Here is a 22,906-nt window from a genome sequence, read left to right as displayed (position 1 = left end):
GTCACTATGGTTTACTGACATTTTTGGGTCACTACCTGAAATTTTATTTTTTCTGGAAGGGGTTCCCTAATCCCTACACCAAGGCCCAGTCCTGTGGCAATGTGCTTCCAGACAAAATATTCATTAATTTAACAAATACTTATTGAGCATATACCATGAAGGTACAATCATATGCCAAAAGAACCTAGTCCTAAAAGATCTAGTGCCTCTTCTCATGGTGTTCTAGTAGTTATACTAGGGACCCTACATGCACAGTGAGAGGTAAGTGCCCTGAAGAAGAGAAATATCACAGGACTGCAAGAAGAAGAAAGGCACTGCTGACTGAGCCTATGTGTCTCCACTTTATATCAACTTGTTATCTTGTGAACAGCAGACCTCAGTAGCAACGCACGCTGCCTGGGAACCCTCAGCAAATATTAAAACATCTACTCAATATTAACACTCATATTCACCAACAAATACAGGGGCAATTATTGTTTCAGGAAGGCAGATTAAAGTATAGTTTGACAGCCTTTAACAGTGCAGAAAATTGAAAGCAAAAAAAAAAAAACAGTTAATGCCTTTGAAAGTCATTATAATGAAAGAGACTCGAGAGACTGAACCACAGAAAGGTGGAGTTGGGCCGGATCGCTTCCTTTGGTCAATAACAGGTGAATGACTGTCATTAAGAAAAGGACTTCTTGCAAAAGAACAGCTTAATCCCAGGAAAAGGAAAGAGTAAAAAGGTTACATTAAGGGAATCAGGGATAATCTCTATCAATTACCCAGAGCCTTTCCTGTTAGGAAAGTCTCAAAAGAAGAACAGGAAAAGAGCTGGGTCATGATCCAGGGTGCTTACACTTTGTTTTATGATCCAGGAGTTTGGCAGTCTGGTTTGTGGGTAAGTGGAGAGAGCTATAACTACAAGCACTATGTAACCCCCACAAATAAGCAGGTAATTGTAGAATATGCCGACATTGGCTCAAGAGGCACCCAGCTATCAGGCAGGCATGGGGAACTGGCTGGCATTTGGGGGCTAAACAAATCAAACTGCATACCTACCAGGTGGCTGGGACATTTGGAAAGACTGATGAGCCAAATCCAGAAGAGGGACCACAAACCACTCCCTTTGGAGGGAAGAGTTCTGGCCAGACAGCCCCACATGGAATAAATGACTGATCCTACTTCTCTATTCCTGGGAGACAATGCAGCACACCCAAGGAGAGACTGAGCCTGCTTCTCCATTTGTGGGAGCTAATATAGCCCACCGTAGGGAACTGAGCCTGCTTCTCCATGCCTGGGAGTTAATGGATCCCATGCAAGGGAAGCAGCCTGCTTCTCCACTCCTGGGAGCCACTTGAAAGTCACTGCAGTCCTCATGCTGGGGGACAAAGAGGGTCTCTTAGGCAACATGGACCTTGACTATGGTCTATCTGAATCAAGTGTCCCTCAGTCCTGGAGTGGGATGAAAGCACACCTAGTCCCATGTCCAAGATTTGCAAAGGAGGCATGACTTTCCTGAGGTCAGAGTGTGCTGGCAGCGGGGGAGGGTGTTCCATCAGAGCCAACTGCTTCCTGTCAACCCTGCCCCGACTTCTGTAGAGTCCATTAAGTTTTATAATATTGAAGATTTTTTGTTTTCTGGGAAATCAGAATTTAGAGGACTCCAATGTTAGTTTCTCAATAATAACTTTAATCAGGATCTATTAGTAAACACATAGACATTTTGTGTATTATTTCAAGCAATTTTTTATCAGAATTACAGAATTCCTGTACCAGGAAATTTGAAGCCAAGCATTTAAGGAAAGAATTTTTTAAAAACCAATTTGTTGGAGGTGGGAGGGGGGTGGACGATGAGAAATTACTTAATGGGTACAATATACATAATTCAGGTAATGGCTACACTAAAAGCCCTGACTTTTCCACTATGCAATATACCCATGTAACCAAATTATACTTGTACCCCATACATTTATACCCAAAAAACTCTCATTTGTTACAGGGAAGTTGACTATAAAGGACCTGCTAGCAGGCAAGTGTATGGTAGCTTATAAGGGAGATGGAATCTTGAAAAGAAGGGTAAATTAAAGTATTTTCAAATATACCAATTGAGTTCACTTAATACATTTTAAAGTGAGTATCTGTAACAACAATAAATTCTCCAACCTACTGAGATTGCTTCTAAAAGGATTAGGACATCTGCGTAACTCAGACTTGTAAGACGGACAGCTGACAAAAGTCAGGGTTGTGGGTTCTTTTTCCCCCATCTGAAACTTCATGAAGTAATTTAAAGTCAAGGTTTTTAACAGAGTACTGCTGGTCACACAGTCACATACCTAACCCTGTTCTCACACTATCATGAGACCATGCTACACCAAGATCCAGTGATGGGCAGGGACCAACCAAGACTCAGAAATACCAGGCTCCCCAAGTCTCCAGTCCTACTTCAGTTTTAGCCTTTAGAGAAAGTGTGTCTGGGATCAGGATCTGACAGTCAAGAGGAGGTTAGGTTTGGGGGTCACGTTAACAGCTAACAGATGAAGTTACAGATTAACTCTTCACTGCCATTAGTTGGTTAATGTACAATTCGTAGGTAACTTCAATCATCCTGGCCCAAGTTCAGAGTAAAAAAAGCAGCGTTCTCTTTTCTTAAAAAGTAATAAAAAGAAATGAACTACTGTTATACACAATCCACATGAATGTATCTCAAAATAATTATGCTGCGTCAAAGAGGCCAGAATAAGCAGTATATACTGCATGATTCCATTCGTGTTAAATTCTATAAAATGCAAACTTGTCTACAGTAGGAGAAAGCAGATCAGTAGTTGTCTGGTGTTTGGCAGGGAAGCCAGGAAAGGGAGGGAGGGATTTTAAAGGGGAATTGAGGGAATGTGGGGGGAGTGACATATATGTTCATCTTGATTGTGGTGATGGTTTAATGGGTGTGTGTGTGTGCATGTGTGTGTGTGTATGTGTGTGTGCATATAGGTCAAACCTTAACAAATTGTGCACTTTAAATATGTGCTGTTTATCACATGTCTATTATACTTCAATAAAGATTAAAACAAGGCCGGGCACGGTGGCTTACGCCTGTAATCCCAGCACTTTGGGAGGTCGAGGTGGGTGGGTCATTTGAGGTCAGGAGTTCGAGACCAGCCTAGCCAACATGGTGAAACCCCGCCTCTACTAAATATACAAAAATTAGCCGGGCATGGTGGCGCGTGCCTGTAATCCCAGCTACTTGGGAGGCTGAGGTAGAAGAATCTCTAGAACCTGGGAGGCGGAGGTTGCAGTGAGCCGAGATCTCGCCACTGCACTCCAGCCTGGGGGACAGAACGAGACTCTGTCTCCAAAAAAAAAAAAAAGATTAAAACAAGGAGTGAGGGGAGAATCTGCAACTATTCTTTTTCCATTATTGCCTCTTATTACTTCAAAGCAAAACTATTTTGACACAGACAACCTTTCACCATGTGAATGCATTTAATTTTAGTTAATATAGGAAAATTCCAAAGCCAGTTTTAAAAATTATGCAGATCGAGCAACATAATACCTCCTTCTGCTATCTACTAAAACTGGCTCAGTATTTTATTTTATTTTTATTTATTTATTTATTTATTTTTTTTGAGACAGAGTTTCGCTCGTTTCCCCAGCTGGAGTGCGATGGCACAACCTTGGCTCATTGCAACCTCCGCCTCCTGGGTTCAAGTGATTCTCCTCCCTCAGCCTTCTGAGTAGCCGGGATTACAGTATTTTTAAAACAGGCCGAGTGCAGTGGCTCACGCCTGTAATCCCAGCACTTTGGAAGGCCGAGGTGGGCGGATCACAAGCTCAAGAGATAGAGACCATCCTGGCTAACACGGTGAAACCCCATCTCTACTAAAAATACAAAAAATCAGCCAGGCGTGGTGGTGGGTGCCTGTAATCCTAGCTACTCAGGAGGCTGAGGCAGGAGAATGGCGTAAACCCAGGAAGTGGAGCTTGCAGTGAGCCAAGATCGCCCCACTGCACTCCAGCCTGGGCAACAGAGCGAGACTCTGTCTCAAACACACACACACACACACACACACACACACACACACCCACACACACACAAAAACAAAGCCCCTCTCAATGAAATCTGGATGAATGGGTAAGTTAGACCAGCAGAACAGAGCCCACCTGGACTCTGGGAGGCAGGCAGACCCCAGGTCAGTAGATGTGAGTATACAGTCGGCCCTCCTTATCAGTGGGTTTCACATCCGTGCATTCAACCAACCACGGATGAAAAATACTCGGAAAAGAAAAAGGATGGTTGCGGCCAGGCACGGTGGCTCACACCTGTAATCCTACCACTTTGGGAGTCCGAGGCGGATGGATTGCCTGAGTCTAGGAGTTTAAGACCAGCCTGGGCAGCATGGTGAAAGCCCGTCTGTACTAAAATACAAAAAATCAGCTGGGCATGGTGGCATGCACCTGTAGTCCCAGCTACTCAGGAGGCTGAGGCACAAGAATTGCTTGAACCCAGGAGGCAGAAGTTGCAGTGAGCCGAGATTATGCCACTGCACTCCAGCCTGGGTGACAAAGCAAAACTCTGTCTTGGGGGAAAAAAAAAAAAAAAAAAAAAAAAGGATGGTTGTGTCTGTACTGAACATGACTTTTTTTCCTTGTCATTTATTCCCTGAACCATGCATTATAACAACTATTTATTAATACATAGTACTTACATTGTATTAGGTATCATAAAGTAATCAGAGATGATTTAAAGTATACGGGAGGATGTGCATAGGTTATATGCAAATACTACCGCCATTTTATATAAGGTACTTGAGCATCTGTGGCTTTTGGTATCCATGGGGGGATTGGGGGGGAGGTCTTGCAACCAATTTCCCACAAATGTGAGGGGACAACTATATTTCATCAAGATAAGGATAATCAAGATGGGGGTGGGGTGGGGTGCATACTTGCTAATGCTGCCTACAGTCAGGGGAGCCCAGTGGCCTGAGGGAAATCCCTATTTCCTATTTCTGGTTCTATCACACTTACTGATATCCTCGGGCAAGACACTTAATATTTGATCCCTAGTTTCCTCATCTGTAGAACTAAGACAGTGATTGTACTTTATAGGGTTGTTGAGAGGATTAAATAGTTCATGGGTGTAAAGTGCTTGGTGTAGTTTGGGTACATGGTAGGTGCCAATTAATGATTGCTAATCATTGATCTAGTCTTAAATAACATGGCACTAAGATGTTAATTGCTGCAAATCAGACAGTACTGCTTTGACAGAGGGGACCTGTGTTTGAGTTTTGAACTGGGTATTATCAATTTCTTTAGTAATCGCTTTAGCTTCATGTCATGAATGCAAGTGGTACTGTTTTTCCCTGTACTACCTTCAGCTTTCATATGGGAACAGAATTAAAATAATCACAATTAAATGGGTCTTCAGAATTTAAGTTGTTCTGTTGTAATCTTCAATCTTTACTAGCTCAACTAGAAGGAAGATACATGATTGACACAAAGAATCAAATATCTCCTGCCAAGTGTTACAAGACATTCACACCTCTTAGAGTAAAGAAAATGGCCACAATATTTTATGATTCCTCCCATCAAGAAATTGAGCTTATTTTTCCACCCCTTGAATTTGGGCTTGGCCACATGAGTTGCTTTGGTCAATGGGACATGAGCAAATACAATGCCAGCAGAAGCTTGGAAAATGCTTGAGGGGATCGAATAGTTCATGGGTGTTCATGCTTGCCCTCTCTTGCGGCTGGGAACCCTGAGAACTATCATGTAAGAAGCCTGGGCTAGTCTACTGGATGATAAGAGACCACATGTTGAGAGGGCATGGCTATCCCAGGTGAGGCCCCAAACACTTGAGTGAGGCCATCCTAGATCACTCAGTCCCAGAGGAACCACTAGCTGACCACAGAGATCAGCCAAGCTGGCACAGACCAGAACAACTGCTCAGCTAACCCACAGAATCATGAGCAATGAAAATGACTGTTGTTTTTAGGGTGCTATGTTTTAAGGGCAGTTTGTTATGCAGCAAAAGCTAACTGATACACCTGTGCTAAATGAATGCACAGGGCCATGCTACCTCACCCGTGTTGTCATCTGTACTATTGCTACTCTACCAACCTGTTTACATTGCTTTGTGCTCCTCAGCCTATTTCTGTTTTCTTCTCTCTGAGGTCTTCGGGTTCCCTTCACTGACTCTTACATGGTCCCAACTCACTTACTTGTTTTCCTTTAAGTCCTATGCTGTACCCCTTCTCTCTTCCTAGTCTATACTCTTTTCTGGACAAGCTCATTCTGGACTCCTGGTTTGAATACACACTCCCCTATCTAATGACTTCTCAACCTTCATCTCTAGCCCTGACCCTTTTCAGGGCTAGAGTTCAAAGGGCTCCAGTTCAAAGTCAGAGTCAGGGCTCTAGTCCTGATCAAAGTCAAAGTCACCAAGTTTCTCCCAAACCTACATTACTTGTCTCAGGTTAAGGGAATCACCATCATACAAATCTAGAAACCCAAATCTTCCTCCTCTTCTCTCACTACCCCTTCCCCTTCCTCTCTCCACATCCAATCTCCATAAAGAATCATTTTCAAGTGGGCTCTCCCTTTGCATCCCTGCTACCCTGTAATGCAGCAGTTTCTCTGTCTCCAATCTTTTTCCAGTTCATTCCATACATGATGCCCTGAGCTGTCTTCTCATCCTTCTCAGATTCAAGTCTCAATTCCTTATAATGTTCAAGACTCTCCTTTGGATCCAGTTTGGATCCGGTCTGCCCGTCCGCCCTCCCCTCCCACACTATCTGCCCTCCAAGCACCAGATGCTCCACCCACACAGTTCCCCCATTTCTGAAAAGTTAAGGCATACGCACATCTTCCAGCTGTTGCATAGGTTATTCATGTTACCTCAACTGCTGTCCTGGACCCTTGATTACCTCTCAAAGCGCTTCAATGCTTAAGGACACATCTAAAAGCCTCCTTTCTCTGCAAAATCTTGCCCAATTTTTCTAGAACAATTTCTATACCAGCGTAGCCTCTATGTGAGCTCCTCTTATGAGTCTTTTCTGCACTCATCCTGGTTGACGGATATAAGCTTTCTGTTTCCATGTCCCATTCACAGGCCTAGGGTGTCCACAGTTTCTGTCCTAGCATGCCCAGGACAGCCCCAGTTTACATTTCTCCTCCCACCATAACCCCTTCCATTCTCAAAAGCGTCTCAGCTTGGATGACAAATGATATGGTCACCCTAAATTGGTCTTCCAGTGCTTGACAAAATCAGAGTATACAAGTCTGCTAATCCAGCTTCTCTGTGGTCCCTCTTCATATTTATGGTTTGACTGTCAGAAATTATTGGTCTGCGTTCACACTTGATTTGCTCAACTTTCCACAGACAGCCTGGATGATCTTCCTCCCTGCAATTTAAAAATCACACAACACAGATTGCAAACTCAATTGTCCACAGGGGCCACACTTAAGATTTACGGCAATGGATGTGCTGCTGCAGTGTGAGGACAGCAGAGAGTGGCAGGCGCCGTGGCAGACTGGACAGTGTACACCTGCCTGATGGGGGCAACTTCTAGGCAGCTGGGGCTTCCTTTACCAGGAGAAATGGGACACCAGCACTGCCAGACCTTCTGATTTTTCAAGAGAAGGTAGAAATGTGGATTTTTATATTAAACCTTCCAATTCAAGTGTTGGCAACCAAGTTACACTTAAAATACTGCACAAGTGTACCCTGTGTGGCTAATGCATTTTTGGCTTTCATAAAACTGACAGAGCTCTGCCTGGAAAACATCTCACCTTTGGAAATGGAAATAGACAAGTATACTCCAGAGGCTGGGCCTGTCTTTGACACTCAATGGTTCTGTCCTAAAGGCCATTTGTGGGGGCAAAGAATAGCTGTCTCAATTTCATAGAGAATATAGGGAGCAGACAACTTTCCTTTCTAGGCAAGTGTTACTTTTCCTTCCTACTTCATGTTTCTTGGATGAAAACATTGCAGAGGTGGCTTTAGTGCACCACTGGGCAGGCACAACCCCTAGCATGCTACAGGTGCTTGACACAGGAAGGAAGTTTCTCCAGGTGAATGAACAATGCTCTGAGATAGAGCAGCCCTACTCTGTTCATAGCTCACTCCAACAGAAGCCAGTTCTCTGAGCTGGAGCAACTTCTTTAAATCTGAATATGAAAACATCTCCTTTGAAACTCCCTGGTTAATCAGTAATCACTCTTAAATAGTAAGAGGTCATGCACATATTAAGGAACAAATACACTTCTGTTTTCATGGCTTTAACAGGTAATTTGCAAAAATCCCTAAATTCAAGCTCTATCTCAAGTCCCATTGGGTCCTTAAATTAACCTTTATTGAACAAGTAAAAGGATGGCCTCATTCAGGCTTTCTTGACTATAATTATTCAGCGTTAGCAAGACTTTACTTAGTAGAACAAAGGAAGTGGGTTCTAGAAGAACCTCTTATTTGCCAGAGCTCCCACCCCCTGCCCCAGCAAAGCCTTGTTTCCTTATTCACTATTTTCTAAAGAGAAAGTTCTAAACCATTACAATCTGTCTCTAGGCTTTCACCTTCCTTCAAGGCAGTCACATACCACTTCACCTCCCAGAATGCACCTGACAGGGGCTGAGTGGACACTTCGTTGATCAGGTATCTAGATCTTCATGTGAACATGAGGTCGATACACTGTGCAGGTCTGCATGAACTATGACAACAACCTTCACTAGTACCAGGGGCATCATTTAGTAATGATCACTTAATCTCTTGCAACATTATTCAGTTCACAGTATAAGATACAACTTTCATCAGCCAAGCCAGTTTCAGTTTTTTTGTTTTTTTTTTTTTTTGAGACAGTTTCACTCTTGTTGCCCAGGCTGGAGTGCAATGGCGTGATCTTGGCTCACCGCAACCTCAGCCTCCTGGGTTCAAGCGATTCTCCTTCCTCAGCCTCCTGAGTAGCTGGGATTACAGGCATGTGCCACCACGCCCAGCTAATTTTATATTTTAGTAGAGACGGGGTTTCACCATGTTGGTCAGGCTGCTCTCGAACTCCAGACCTCAGGTGATCCACCCGCCTCGGCCTCCCAAACTGCTGGGATTACAGGGTTAAGCCATCATGCCCAGCTGTCCTTCCCTTCCTAAAACCACGGGAGAGGGAAAGAAGTCTGGAAGGATTTTTTTTTTTTTTTTTTTAAACAGAATCTCACTCTGTCACCCAGGCGGGAGTGCAGTGGTGCAGTCTCAGCTCACTGGAACCTCTGCCTCCCAGGTTCAAGTGATCCTCCCACCTCAGCCTCCTGAGTAGCTGGGACTACAGGCGTGCACCACCATGCCTGGGTAATTTTTGTATTTTTAGTAGAGACAGGGTTTCGCCATGTTGGCCAGGCTGGTCTTGAACTCCTGACCTCAGGTGATCTGCCCACCTTGGCCTCCCAAAGTGTTGGGATTATAGGCATGAGCCACCGTGCCCAGCCTGGAAGGAAGAATATTAACCCAAAGCCAAAAAACAAAACTGGATTTCAATTAAACTTTGGACTTCTTAGGCTACAATAAGCGTTAAAACAATTCAAACTGGTAAGTTATAGGCAATTATTAGAAAAATAAAGGTTTTATATATACATCCTTTCGTATCACATAGCATATTATGCAACTTTCAGAGGATTTAAAAGCAACTGTCACATAATAATCAAGTAGAGAATATTTAACGAGATACCTAAAATAAAGGAGCTAACTTTCTGTAAGACTTGAGTGCCTTCATTTTATTTCTTAGCAGACAGGAGGCAGATACTAATACTTATATGGTAGCAAAGTGCTGTTTGATGGGTTAGAAAGTGACAGAATGACAGGAAGCATCAGAGCACACCCCAGGTTGCAGATGTGTCAAAGAACAGATGACGGAGCGGAGGCAGGCAAGCTCTGATGTGGGGAGTGGGCTGTGGGAATCTTTCCCTCTCTTCTTTCAGGAACCTTGACTCTGAGCTCTTGGCTCGAGGCAGCCTATGCAGAGAAAAGCCCCACTCACCCAGTTTGTTGGCCTTGCAGCTGCATCACAATCTGCAGTTGCCCTGTTTGTTGTCTTTGTGTTTACTTGCTGCTAGTTGTCTCTGTGTCTCCTCTACTGACCAGGAGCCCCATGGGGGCAGTGAACTTGTCTACTTTAATAAGTACTGTATCTGCAGCGTCTAGCACACTGCCTGGGATACAGGCAGTGCTTAATAAACATATGAATGAATTCCAAAAACAGAGTCTGTATTTTACACTGAGCTACAAAAGGGAGATACTTAGTCAAGCTCACTGCATCCAGGCTACCTTTAAGTGCAGCTAGGAGGCTGAAGCATCTCTGCTTTCTGTCAAACACGGAGCGGCAGGGAGATGGTGTGTAAGCCTAGCTTCTGAGCAGCTGCAGCTGCTGAACTGCTCTTGGTTCAGGGGTCTCACCTACATCAGGAATCACATCACCCAAGCCTGCACTACAACTCCTGCAGGCCGGGGGACTGCTGCCACTGGGGGAACCAGTGGGGACATTCAGGGGATAAATGAGTGACTTCAGATGACTGAACAACATCAAATATGCCACTAAGTGAGGGGGTAAGGGGTGAGACATGACCCCAAAGCAATAAAACCATCAGTGATAATTAGAGTAACATGTCTCAGCTCTTCCTGAGGACAAGATTTTGGCTGGGATCCTTGCTGTTGTCACTGCAATACTCGGAATGGCTGTGTGACTTTGGCTGTGTGACTTTACAGCAATGACACAGAAACGACCAGGACAGATGAAAAAAATCCAGGGAAAAGCTATTTAGGGGATAATATTGAGACTATTAAGACTTTCATAATGTTTTTCTCTGAACACAGACATTTTTAGCATTATTAGCAATGCAAGACCATCCTGGGAAAGGCTACCACCAATATTCTGTGAGGCCCATGGTTGCTTATGTTAGAGCATTGCGCCCAGCCTAACCAGGCCTCCACGCCTGCCCCATCCAGTGCCTCATGCTAATGAAGCAGCAATGCCAAAAATCCAGTATTATTCAATTTACTCCATATCATCACGCTTTTATGGCCTATACAAGTAATCTAAAAATCTGTGATAGAATCTGGTTCTTGATATCTGAGTCCCCTTCCAAAGCCACTGTCATAAATTTAGCCAGGAATGAGTCAAGCTGTTCATTAGGTACAAGTGCAAGTTGACATCCAAATTATCAGGGACCCTCTCTTAACACCATTTTGGTTGGATACAGCTTTAAATTAGCTGTAACTGTAACTTGGCAAAGATTTTCAATAATAACAAAGGGTAAAAATTGCCATCATATTTTGCCATTTAATCAGCACATGTTCCAAGGAGCCAAGGAATAAAATCAAAGACAAAAGGGCAAGGTGTCGTCTTGCCTTATCTTTTTAGAGGGATCAATGTTGCATCTACAAAACCAGTTTTCTTTTTAGTCCTTGATGTACCTGTTTCCCAATGACTTTAAGTGGTTTCTAGAAGCTTCACTGAAAATTAAACTGAGAAGTTGGAACAGGGGAAGTTACTAGCATGGAAGGGATACTCTTCACAGTCATCATTTTGCCCGACAGCTAACAGAATGGGCCGTTTTTCTCCAAGTTGAAGCAGCCTGACCACAAGCAGAGAGCTGAAAAAGAAACATCTTGGGATTCCCTGAAAGCTAACTTTAGACAGCATGAGCAAGCTGAGGACTTCTGGGAAGTAAATGCAGCAGACATATTTGTCTACCATGTGGCAACCAGGAATGGGTGGCTCTTCAACAGCACTCGGCTTCCCAAAAAAGAGGGGGTAGGAGCAGACTGTTGGTCAGGAACCTATCAGTCTGTTATGCAGAACTGTATCAACTACCATCTATACGCTTAAGTAACTCAAAGGACAGAACTGATGAGAAGAGCAGGAGGTCTGGAGCTAACCTGGGACGGAGCCATGGCTGATGTCTGTAGCTTAGCCCCTTCCCCTGAGTCTCAATGTATTCATCTTTAAAGCAGGGTACCAACCAGATCACAGAGTTGTAAATATTAAAGATGATTCTATCTGGACAGAGCCCAGCCTGAGACTCAGCATGGAGTCGTGGTTAGGGAGAAGCATCCTTCCTATGTTAAGACTAAAAAATGTGTAATTCCCCTTCAGAAGTTGAAATCACTTAGACACAAGCATCCTGTAGTAAGCTGCGAATTTAACAAGTAAGTTAACGGCCCTCGATGGGGGCCCTTCCTACACCTACCAGTGTAAAGGATGCTGAAAGGTATGTCTTTGTTTTCACTTCAGTTATCCACAACTATCTAAAATTGATTGTATCATTCACTGACCAGCTTGATACTTTGGTCCCAGAGAGCTCTACTCAACTGCCTTTCCAGGGCCAAAGAGAAATGAAATTGAGCAGAATCATCAGTTCGAAGACCTTGAGAATACTGGGTAAGTCAATGGTGCACCCACAACAAAACAACACTGGCGTGGGCAGGTTCTCCACGTATGTGATACTTCTGGATGTTTTGAGAACTAAGGTGATCAATTTGAAAGAGAGCATAGTCCCTCTGCTTCACTGTTTAGATCCAATAGTGAAGACCCAAATAGAAGGCTGAGGAGATAAGAGGGCTCCACACCCATTCAATTGGACCTTGGCCCTAGTGCCTCAGAGCTACAGTTCTCTCTTACTGCTTTGCATTTTGTTCACACTGCTGTTCTCCTTTGGAAGTTAAGAAACTTCACTTGCACTCTAAGCACGGATTTGAGTGTCTCACGGGGCAGGGGCAACATAAGATCCAACTTGGCTAGCAACTTCAAACGACTTGGCCAATCCAGGTGACCCAGCTGCTCCGGCCCAGACCAGGCCTTTTTGTTTTGGATTAGGCTGGTTGCAGGGTCCCCCGGCTGTGGTGGGCCCACATTGTCGGCTTGTTGCTTCTTTCCCAAAAGAGGATCTTGTTACAAAGAGAAGCTGGAAATTTCTTTGCACACAAGCAGAGACATGGTGGCCCTGCAAAGGCCCCAGGGTAAGGATTAAAGAAAAACAAAATAGAAACCCTTCCATCTCTAATTAGGGTCTTCATTTGCCAAAGTGCCATTCCCCAGCGGGAGGATTTACATTCAGGCTGTTGCTTGGAGTTACTTGGAAAACGTCTCCCAGCAGGTTGGTTCCTCGGTTCAGGCTCCTTTGAGCCAACAGTTTCTGGTTACTTAGAGGAGAGCTGCCTGCATATTGTTTTAACTGGCCTAGCTTCTGCAGCCAGCTTAGCTGTGTGAACAATCTCCCATTCAGAACCTAAAGATAAAAGCACAGTTTGGTTGAAAAATCTTTTTTATTTTTTAAATTTTTTTAAACTTGCGAATTATAGGTTTCGGAGCTAGCATTATTTCTCTCATACTCAAGAGTGTTTTTCCCCCTCTGCCTTTGGTTCTCTGCCAGCCAAGGCTGCATCCTGGAGTTCGGCCAGCCGCCAGTCCCCACTTCCTTGCCATTCACACCATAGGGCTGGTGGCAGCTGGCCACGGAGACGGACAGGAGCACCCCATTTGTAAGAGGTTGACCACAGAATAATGTAGCCAGCCTGCTGGACCCCCGCAGCCAGCCTAGGGCACCTTTTGTATACTTCCTCATCATTCTTTGTATTCACAACAGCATTTCTTCTTGCACATCAAGACCCCAAGAGCCTAGCCAGGGAAGCAAGAATTCTTTTCCTTTCTGAAATTCTTAGGGCAACAGTAAATTATAAACCAAGGCTGAGTAGGAAGATATGTTTGTGTAACCTTCTATGTGTTTAAAACAAAAAAAAGGTAGATGAAGATGAATTAAAGAGCAAGCACAAAAAAAGAGAAGAGACACCGAAAGCACAGGTGACGAAAGAAAAAATGGATAAAGTGGGCTTCATTAAGAGTCAAAACTTTTGGCCAGGCATGGTGGCTCATGCCTGTAATCCCAGCACTCTGGGAGGCTGAGGCGGGTGGATCACTTGAGGTCAGCAGTTGGAGATCAGCCTGGCCAACAGGATGAAACCCATCTCTACTAAAAATAGAAAAATTAGTTGGGCATGGTGGTGGACACCTGTAATCCCAGCTACTTGGGAGGTTGAAGCACAAGAACTGCTTGAACCTGGGAGGCGGAGGTTGCAGTGAGTTGAGATGGTAGCATTGCACTCCAGCCTGGGTGCAGAGTGAGACTCTGTCTCAAACAAACAAACAAAAATGAGAAAAAACTTTTGTGTATCAAAGGATACTATCAATAGGATGAAAAGGCAAGCCACAGGATGAGAAAGACTATTTCATGTATATCAGGTAAGGGATCAATATACAGAATATATATGGTAGCATTATTTACAGTAATCAAAAGGTGGAAACAACCTAAGTGTCCATAGATAGATGAATGAATAACCAAAACGTGGTATGTAGATACAATGGGATATATATAATTCCATCATAAAAAGGAATAAAATTCTGATACATGCTACAACAAGAGCGAACCTTGAAGGCATTATGCCACGTGAAAGAAGCCAGTCACAAAAGGACAAATACACGACTCCACTCACAAAAGACCTGGAGTGGTCAAATTCCTAGAGACAGAAAGTGGAATGGTGGTTGCCAGGGGCTGTGGGGAGGCAGAAGTGAGGAGCCTGGGTTTAATAGGTATGGAGTTTCAGTTTAAGAAGAGGGGCTGGGTGCGGTGGCTCATGTCTGTAATCCCAGCACTTTGGGCGGCCGAGGCGGGTGGATCACGAGGTCAGGAGATCGAGACCATCCTGGCAGACACGGTGAAACCCCATCTCTACTAAAAATACAAAAAAAAATTAGCCAGGCGTGGTGGCAGATGCCTGTAGTCCCAGCTACTCGGGAGGCTGAGGCAGGAGAATGGCATGAACCCAGGAGGCGGAGCTTGCAGTGAGCCGAGATTGAGCCACTGGACTCCAGCCTGGGAAACAGAGCGAGACACTGTCTCAAAAAAAAAAAAAAAAAAAGAGGAAAAAGTTCTGGAGATGGTCAGTGATGATGGGTGCACAGCAGAGTGAATGTGCTTAATTAATGCCACTGAACTCGTACACTTAATGGTGAAGCTTATATGATGTATATAGTTACCACCATTTTAAAGAGAGAGAGAAGATTCAAGGTCAAAGAATTAGGACCACAGAAGTGGGGAAATGAGAAGGCTGTTCATTTTTTTATGTTTCCTGGGTAACTTCTACCAAGTCCCACTTTTTAATTCAGGTATATAAAAATCTTCTTGGATTTTAAGTTTTAAGGTCTCTAATACATTACAAAGTTTTATTCCTCTCTTTTACTTAAATTGCCACAGAACAGTAATACACAGCAATATCATGGAAATGACCAGAATGGCAATCTATTTCTAGGCCTAAGCACATCCTGTTCCCTCCCTCCACCGCGCACTACTCTTCTGCATGCCTCTTTTTTTGAATTTATTTTTTTAAACTCTACTCTTATGACAGATTATTCTGCATGCCTCTTGATGCACTCCCTGGAAATGCCTTCCTTATCAAGGGGACCTTCTCCTGCCTGCTAAAACCATCACGCCCAGTCAAGTTGCTCTTTTTGACTGGCTCTGGGATACGCCACATGTTATTTCTGCTCCTGCCAGCCCCACTGCTGGAATTTCCTTCTTGGTCTCTTCCCTCCCCCAAACCCAGCCAGTCTTAAAAGTTGAGTTTCATCTCTTCTGTGAAGCCGTCCCTGCTGACAGACTATTGGTCCAGAAAGACTTTTAGGAAAAAAAGATGCCTAAGCCAAGACCTGAAGGATCCTGTCCTGATTCCCTCTTCACAGTGGCCCTGCAGTACCAAGGAGGGAGGCCGGAGTGCTGTGGGCACTGCAAAGCTGCTTGCTGAACATCAAGGGACCAGGGCAACCAGAGCAAAAAAGAGTTTGGATAGCTCTAGTTTTGAGACACAAGCTAAATTTAACATCCTGGACATGTCCACACCTTAAATTACAAACCCTAGCACAACAGCAGTATAAATCTTCTTAGTTAACAAAAAAGAGTAATTGGCTACCTAGATTATCACAGCCACAGAATTTAAACAAGAGAACTGCATTAGAAAATCAATTGCGAGTGGTACGAGATGTCCAACTTCCTTAGTCCTTCTGGTTAAAGCTGGTTAACAAGGATAGTTGTTGGTCTTACCAGTGAAAAACCAACAATCTTCTGAAAAATCACTAAATAAGTCAAGATCTATCACCAATGCACTTTCCACACACACAGCTGTGAATGAGTCCTAGGCCATCTCCTCCCTCTCCCTATTAAGGAAAACAGAACTCATTCATTCAGCCTTGAAGTTAGATGGCCTTGATGCTGACGAGAAAGGAAAGACATAAAACCCAAAAAAGTTCGAGTGAATCAGAACTTCAAGCCCCTCTTCACTGGTCTCTTCAAGACACACGCCTGGCATCTAAAATAGTCAAAGTAAATCATGCCACCATTAACTTCTGCAGGCCATGTTAGATAAAAGAATCTTAGGAGAGTTGGCTCAGAGCATGGAATAAGTGAAACCATCACCCTCAGGGAGAGCACAAACAGGGTCATCAGCAAACTCGTTCCTCGGGGGAATCCACAGCCATGGCCCAGTGCTCTGAAATGTGTGGTTGTGGTGCCCTGGCCAGACTCTGAACTATTCAGGATCTTCTACTCTCACTAGTAAGAATACAATCTGCTTATCAAACGAGACACAGTGATGATGACATTTTTGAACACAGATTAATTGTGCCACCCTCTCTTATTTCCTTCCTCATTGAGCATACAAATGAGAGAGGTACAATTTCAGGTAACTTTGCAAAAAGGAAAGAAATAGAATTTCTGAGCCGGGCGCCGTGGCTCATGCCTGTAATCCCAGCACTTTGGGAGGCCGAGGTGGGTGGATCACCTGAGATTGGGAGTTCGAGACCAGCCTGACCAACATGGAGAAACCCCATCTCTACTAAAAATACAAAATTAGCCAGGCATGGTTGTGCACGCCTGTAATCCTAGCTACTTGGGAGGCTGAGGCAGGAGAATTGCTTGAACCTGGGAGGCGGAGGTTGTGGTGAGCCGAGATCGCACCATTGCACTCCAGCCTGGGCAACAGAGTGAAACTCTGTCTCAAAAAAAAAAAAAAAAAAAAAAGGAAGAAATGGAATTTCTATGAAAGGGGCAAACTGATAAAAGAAAAAGGGGAGCTATGATAAAAATATTACAAAAGGGAACGATCAGGAGCAAATTAAAAGCTATAGGAGAGATTTGTTTTCTAGAGATGAGGTCTTGTCACCCCAGGCTGGAGTGCAATGGTGCGATCACAGCTCAGCTCACTGCAGCCTCAAACGATCCTCTTGTCTCAGCCTCCTGAGTAGCTGCACTATAAGTGGGTGCCACCAGGCCCAGCTAGTTTAAAAAAAAAAAAATTTGTAGAGATGGGGGTCTCGCCATGTTTCCCAGGCTGGTCTTGAACTCCTGGCCTTAAGCGATTCCCCTGCCTTGGCTTCCCAAAGTGCTGGGATTACAGGTATGAGCCACCGTGCATGACGTGAACAAGATAATTTCAGTGGGACGTTTTGTCCACTTATTAGGTTCCCAAGTACCCAAATGATGAGAAACCAGTTACCTAAATTTAACCAAACTTTCCCCCTAGAATCTGTTCAAAGTAATCCCAAAACCACTGGTAGGTACCCCTGTGAAGACCATTCATTAGAGCCAGGGGCCTTTGCTCCCACCCACCTCTGCCCAGACCAGCTGCATGACCACACACGTTATTCAAGTCGTTCTGTCCCCTCCTCCCTGCATTAGCAGCAAAATGATCATCTGATAACAATTCTCTCCGGGGATACTGTAAGGATTTCAGATAATGTGTGAAAACACCTGGCATACAGTAGGAATGCAATCATGACACCTGTTTTATGGTAGCCAGCATTCTTCTTCAGTTTGCTTTTCACAGGCATGCCAAATGTACTAACTTTTAGGTCTGTGTATGCATGTTCTAACAGAAAAGCATCTTTGGGATGCTGCGGCTCCTGGGCTAAGACTTTATCAAAACCTACCCTTAAAATGCTACATGTGGCCAGAGAAGACAGATTTTGGTACAATGATGGAAGCTTCAAGTCTGCAAGTTTTAGAAACCTTTTCCAGAATCATGAGTTACAAGTAGAAATTAGAGTTAATACCAAATAGGTGCACTTTATTCTAGTAATACAAAGGGCACATCTGAAATGGCCCTGAAATTCCCATCACTACACAGAAAGCCATGGAGCACAACTACTGAGAGTGTCTTCTGCAGGGGGCCACCCACACTCCAACAGCAGCCAGCCTGGAGACTGATAAGGAACCAGGAACGATAAGGAAAGACAATATCAGGAGTCAAAAGAGCCCAACTGGGCCAGGTGCGGTGGCTCACACCTGTAATCCCAGCACTTTCGGAGGACGAGGCAGGCAGATCACCTGAGGTCAGGAGTTCGAGACCAGCCTGACCAAATGGTGAAACCCCATCTCTACTAAAAATACAAAAGTAGCCAGGCGTGGCGGTACACGCCTGTAAGTCCAGCTACTCAGGAGGCTGAGGCAGGAGAATCGCTTTAACCCGGGAGGTGGAGGTTGCGGTGAGCCGAGATTGTGCCATTGCACGGTAGCCTGGACAAGAAGAACAAAACTGTCTCAAAAAAAAAAAAAAAAAAAGAAACGGATGATAAGAACCTTGATCACTGGTAATACTGGAGAAATGTCCAATTTCCCATACAGGCTCTATATAGTGCAATAAGCCCAAGGCAGATATTAATATTGTGAGCTCCAAGCTAGGGGAGCAGGCTTTGCATCTAAAACATAAGCTCTTCAGAGGACAGTCTTTTTTTTTTTTTGAGACAGAGTTTCACTCTTGTTGCCCAGGCTGGAGTGCAATGGCGCAATCTCAGCTCACTGCAACCTCTGCCTCCAGGGTTCAAGCGATTCTCCTGCCTCAGCCTCCCGATAGCTGAGATTATAGGCATGCACCACCACGCCCAGCTAATTTTGTATTGTTAGTAGAGACGGGGTTTCTCCATGTTGGTCAGGCTGGTCTTGAACTCCCGACCTCAGGTGATCCGCCCACCTCGCCTGGCCTGACAGTCACCTTTTAATTCCAGTGTCATCATGTAGCAGCCCTCCAAGATCACTAGACCACTGACTCTCTCCAGTCAGATGTGAGAGGCTTCATTCCCCTGCATTATTCAACAAATAAGCAAAGCCAAATTTCAAGCCTGGTGGGCAACTGCTCAGGCATCCTTGGCCCTGGAAGAGTGAACAGGTACCACCCTCACCACCCCAGCTGCAGGGAGAGGAAGCCCAGAGCTAAGTTCTTCAATTCCATTCTCTGCTGACCCAAAAGACATGGGTCTTCTTCCTCCTTTCCTCCTACCCCAAACAAGCTCATCTCTTTTCCTACAAGGGGCTTAGGCTTTGCTCTTTTCTTCAATTTCAGAAAGGTTCCTAAACAGAGGGATGTGAGGAAAGTTAACACTCTCTCACCAATCTATAAGCTCTATATCTCATAAAAATCTACAAGTAGGCACGTGAGGACTGATGTGCCACAAGTGTGTGTGCATCCACATGCTCTGCTGAGGAATATTTCTGTGAGGCTGCACAGCCTTGCTTGGCAAAGGCAAGGTTTTCCTCCTGGCAAGTGAGGGTCAGAGGCCTGGCTTGGAGGAGCCGCTTATTGTGAGCCTGGCTGGGGCAGGCAGCAGCGAGTGCTGGGAGGGGAAAGGTTCCCTTTGAAGCACATGGCGCTAAGAGCTTCCCAGTGACCATGGAAACAGGCGCAGTGGGTTCCCAGCCTGAGAACCAGGGAGAGCAGCCGTGATTCAAACACAAAACACACACAAAGGTCTGAAAAGCGGAGACAAGAGGGGCCAGAGTGAGGGGCAGGCAGTCCCTGGCTGGCAGGAACTGAGCGGCTCCCTGGTAGGAAAATCCGGCCAATGAAGCCGAGCAGGTTCACGGGGTTTCCTTTTCATTCCCGAAGCTTTCTTCTTGCTCTGTCCCTGCCCTTCGGGTCCTATTCAGCACCTCATCAGATCAGTAGAGTCGGGCCTTTGGCTGGCCTGCTGGCAGCAGGGACTGGAACCGGGCGGGAGGTGATCAAAGGAGCCGCCACTGCAGCCGCCACCCGCCCTCCTCCCTCCTCCACCCACCCTCCTCAGGATGAGGCCCTGCCAAGGTGATCCAGGGGAAGCCACTGGGGGAGGGCGAGGAAGAGAGGCAGTTCTCTGATGTCTGCCTTTCTGTTGAAGAGACACAAAGCACAGCTTGAAAGGAGACATGCCACTAGCTGGTCAGAGCTCCTTCCTTCTAAGATGTCTGTTCTTAAACCAGGTGACAGAGGGGCCACCTAGACTGGCGTGCTTCGGGTACACTTGGGATGCCCAGATTCTGCTGCTTTTGGGTCTTCTTTCATAGCTGTCTGCCTCCCAACCCTCGAGATAGATGAAGTTACAGAGACTGAAAAGGTGGCTCTTGTTATCTGACAGTATCTGAGATACTGTGCCTCCTAACTTCAGGGTTCCAATTTAACGGGAGAGAAAAATCTACCTGGGCTTTTTTTCAGCAAGGAAGAAGAAGCAATATGACTAAAGTCTGTTAAGGAGGAAAGATCCTCCACTTGCTGATGGTATATTTTCTCTTGGGTCAGACTGAATCAAAGTCAAATGGCGTCCTATCTGGCTCAGGGCCAGGACCAGCAAGAGAAGCAAGCCCACTTCTCAGCCGGGCCTTGCTGTTGACAGCAGGGCAGGCTTTGTCCCTGACCAGCGTCTCTTGAGGAAGGCAGTGTTTGGACAAGCCTGTAATTCGAGAAGCCCGTTAGGTGCATGCTTCTTTTCTTACCTTTGTTGGGTTGCCAAAATATTTACTTGACTTTTTAACTCCAAATCTCTGAAACACACCTGGATTGCCCAAAACAGGCAATTTTCTTATTTTCTATTATTCATAAAAGAAAGCCCAACCTAAGCAAAGACAGAGGGATTGGGGTATGCAGGGGGCTGGTAAGAGATCCAGCTTTATGTAATTCAGTCACTTCTTTTTTTTTGAGACAGGGTCTTGCTCTGTCACCCAGGTTGGAGTAGCAGGATCACCACCCACTGTAGCCTCCACCTCCCAGGCTCAAGCCTCCCGCTCCAGCCTCCCGAGTAGCTGGGACCACAGGCATGCACCACCACATCTGGCTAATTTTTTAATGTTTTGTAGAGACAGGGTCTCACTATGTTGCCGAGGCTGGTCTCCAACTCTTGAGCTCAAGCAATCCTCCTGCCTTGACTTCCCAAAGTGTTGGGATTACAGGCACGAGCCTTCAGTCACTTCTTAAGAGATGCGTGCACATCAAATGGATTCTTTTTTTTTTTTTTTGAGTCGGAGTCTTGCTCTGTCACCCAGACTGGAGTGCAGTGGCGCGATCTCGGCTCACTGCAAGCTCCACCTCCCGGGTTCAAGCCATTCTCCTGCCTCCTGAGTAGCTGGGACTACAGGCGCCCGCCACCACGCCTGGCTAATTTTTTTGTATTTTTTTAAGTAGAGATGGAGTTTCATCGTGTTAACCAGGATGGTCTCTATCTCCTGCCCTCGTGATCCGCCCACCTTGGCCTCCCAAAGTGCTGGGATTACAGACATGAGCCACTGCGCCCAGCCAAAACAAATGGATTCTATTTTGACCTTTAGTGAAGAGTCAATTTCCATCCCAAGTAAAACTTCTGTGTGGTAGTCAACTCCATTTATTTTATTTTTAAAAACATAATCATGATATAAAAGCCAATTGCATTATATCTGCAGAGAGACTGAATATCTTATAACAGGAAAAATGGGGTGCTAAAACATCAAACAAAATTTGAACTGTTTCAGATGAATTTCATGTGATAGAAAAGACCCAAAAATAAGTGCAAAATTTTTTTCTTCTCTTTCCTTGGTGCTTCTGGTGTTATGAAAAAGAACATGGGAAATGGTCTCTGGTCTAGTTAGTGTCAAGCCACTGCACAAGGATCTCCCCCTGCCATGTGCGCCTGTCTATCAGCTCCCATTTCTGCCAGGCGCTTTCGGAAGTACATGCTTGCCAAGGCTGAGTGGCCTGGAGTCAGACCTTCCAGACAGGCTGTGGTTTACAGGTAGAATTCAACAGAAGGTCCCTGCACTGCCTGTTGCTGCTGTTCTTAGGAGCACAGATCCTGCTTAAGGATACCCATCCCACAAAGACACCTATATCCCCTTCTGAGAATAAGGGCCTGGCCATCAGTTAGGGCAATTATTTACAGTCTGGTGCGCATCAGCAAACCTTTGAGAGAAAAATTAATTTGGAAACATTTTTTAGATCTTTAACATTCTAAAATGGAACTTGGAGTTGTTCTCTTTTCAAACACACCGAAAGCGCAGCAGGGGTGGGAAGCTTACTGACAGCTGTTACTTGCCTACATCCTTTCTACAGCATTAGGTTTCAAAATGGCACCTCTTGTACCTTTATTTTGATAAGCTGTCTTTTATCTGCCCTAACTTAGATTTGATGGACTATAACTTTAAGCCCATAAGAAATCAGGCCCTCCCTAAGGCTGGTCAGCAGCAGCATGTACATTCATGGATACTTTCTGGAATTGTAAGAAATAGCAGGCCAGTCCCTTCCAGAACCATCATTAGCTAAAAATGGGAGGAGATTTGGCAGTGGCTCTCCCATCTTTCCACATTTTTAACCAGCCACTCTGCTATTGAGCTGAAATTGAAGGAATCCTGACCATCGACATACATAAGGATCTACCATCCTCTTGCCAATGGATATATATAGAGACTTTTGTGGCTCAGATGTCCCAGATAAAATCAAGGGATCATGCTTTAAGGCAGGTCAGGATAAGGACAAGTGATGAAGAGAGAGGAACACTTCTAGACCCTCTATTAACTTAAAAGCTTTTGAAGAGAAAAGGGAATTAATTATTTTTAGGAATCTCAGAAGGAC

At 44.9% G+C, this 22,906-nt stretch overlaps 1 protein-coding gene across 2 annotated transcripts in view, besides 4 other annotated features; it reads right to left on the bottom strand.

Moving 5' to 3' along the window:
* The window catches only part of ZNRF3 (zinc and ring finger 3), a 173,917-nt gene that overhangs the window by 32,654 nt on the left and 118,357 nt on the right, over positions 1-22,906 (bottom strand). The gene's annotated exons all lie outside the window — the stretch shown is intronic.
* Positions 13,113-13,950: an enhancer, noted in NCBI's record as "NANOG-H3K27ac-H3K4me1 hESC enhancer chr22:29406873-29407710 (GRCh37/hg19 assembly coordinates)". NCBI's record gives its function as "activates a minimal SCP1, AML or CMV promoter by ChIP-STARR-seq in naive H9 embryonic stem cells {active_cell/tissue: H9 hESC(naive)}" and the evidence as "EXISTENCE:reporter gene assay evidence [ECO:0000049][PMID:30033119]".
* Positions 19,350-20,160: an enhancer, noted in NCBI's record as "H3K27ac-H3K4me1 hESC enhancer chr22:29400663-29401473 (GRCh37/hg19 assembly coordinates)". NCBI's record gives its function as "activates a minimal SCP1, AML or CMV promoter by ChIP-STARR-seq in naive H9 embryonic stem cells {active_cell/tissue: H9 hESC(naive)}" and the evidence as "EXISTENCE:reporter gene assay evidence [ECO:0000049][PMID:30033119]".
* Positions 20,161-20,970: an enhancer, noted in NCBI's record as "H3K27ac-H3K4me1 hESC enhancer chr22:29399853-29400662 (GRCh37/hg19 assembly coordinates)". NCBI's record gives its function as "activates a minimal SCP1, AML or CMV promoter by ChIP-STARR-seq in naive H9 embryonic stem cells {active_cell/tissue: H9 hESC(naive)}" and the evidence as "EXISTENCE:reporter gene assay evidence [ECO:0000049][PMID:30033119]".
* Positions 20,971-21,782: an enhancer, noted in NCBI's record as "H3K27ac-H3K4me1 hESC enhancer chr22:29399041-29399852 (GRCh37/hg19 assembly coordinates)". NCBI's record gives its function as "activates a minimal SCP1, AML or CMV promoter by ChIP-STARR-seq in naive H9 embryonic stem cells {active_cell/tissue: H9 hESC(naive)}" and the evidence as "EXISTENCE:reporter gene assay evidence [ECO:0000049][PMID:30033119]".

This window comes from Homo sapiens, chromosome 22, assembly GCF_000001405.40.
Source record: "Homo sapiens chromosome 22, GRCh38.p14 Primary Assembly".
Taxonomy (NCBI): domain Eukaryota; kingdom Metazoa; phylum Chordata; class Mammalia; order Primates; family Hominidae; genus Homo; species Homo sapiens.
This window is presented reverse-complemented; position numbering and strand designations above follow the sequence as displayed.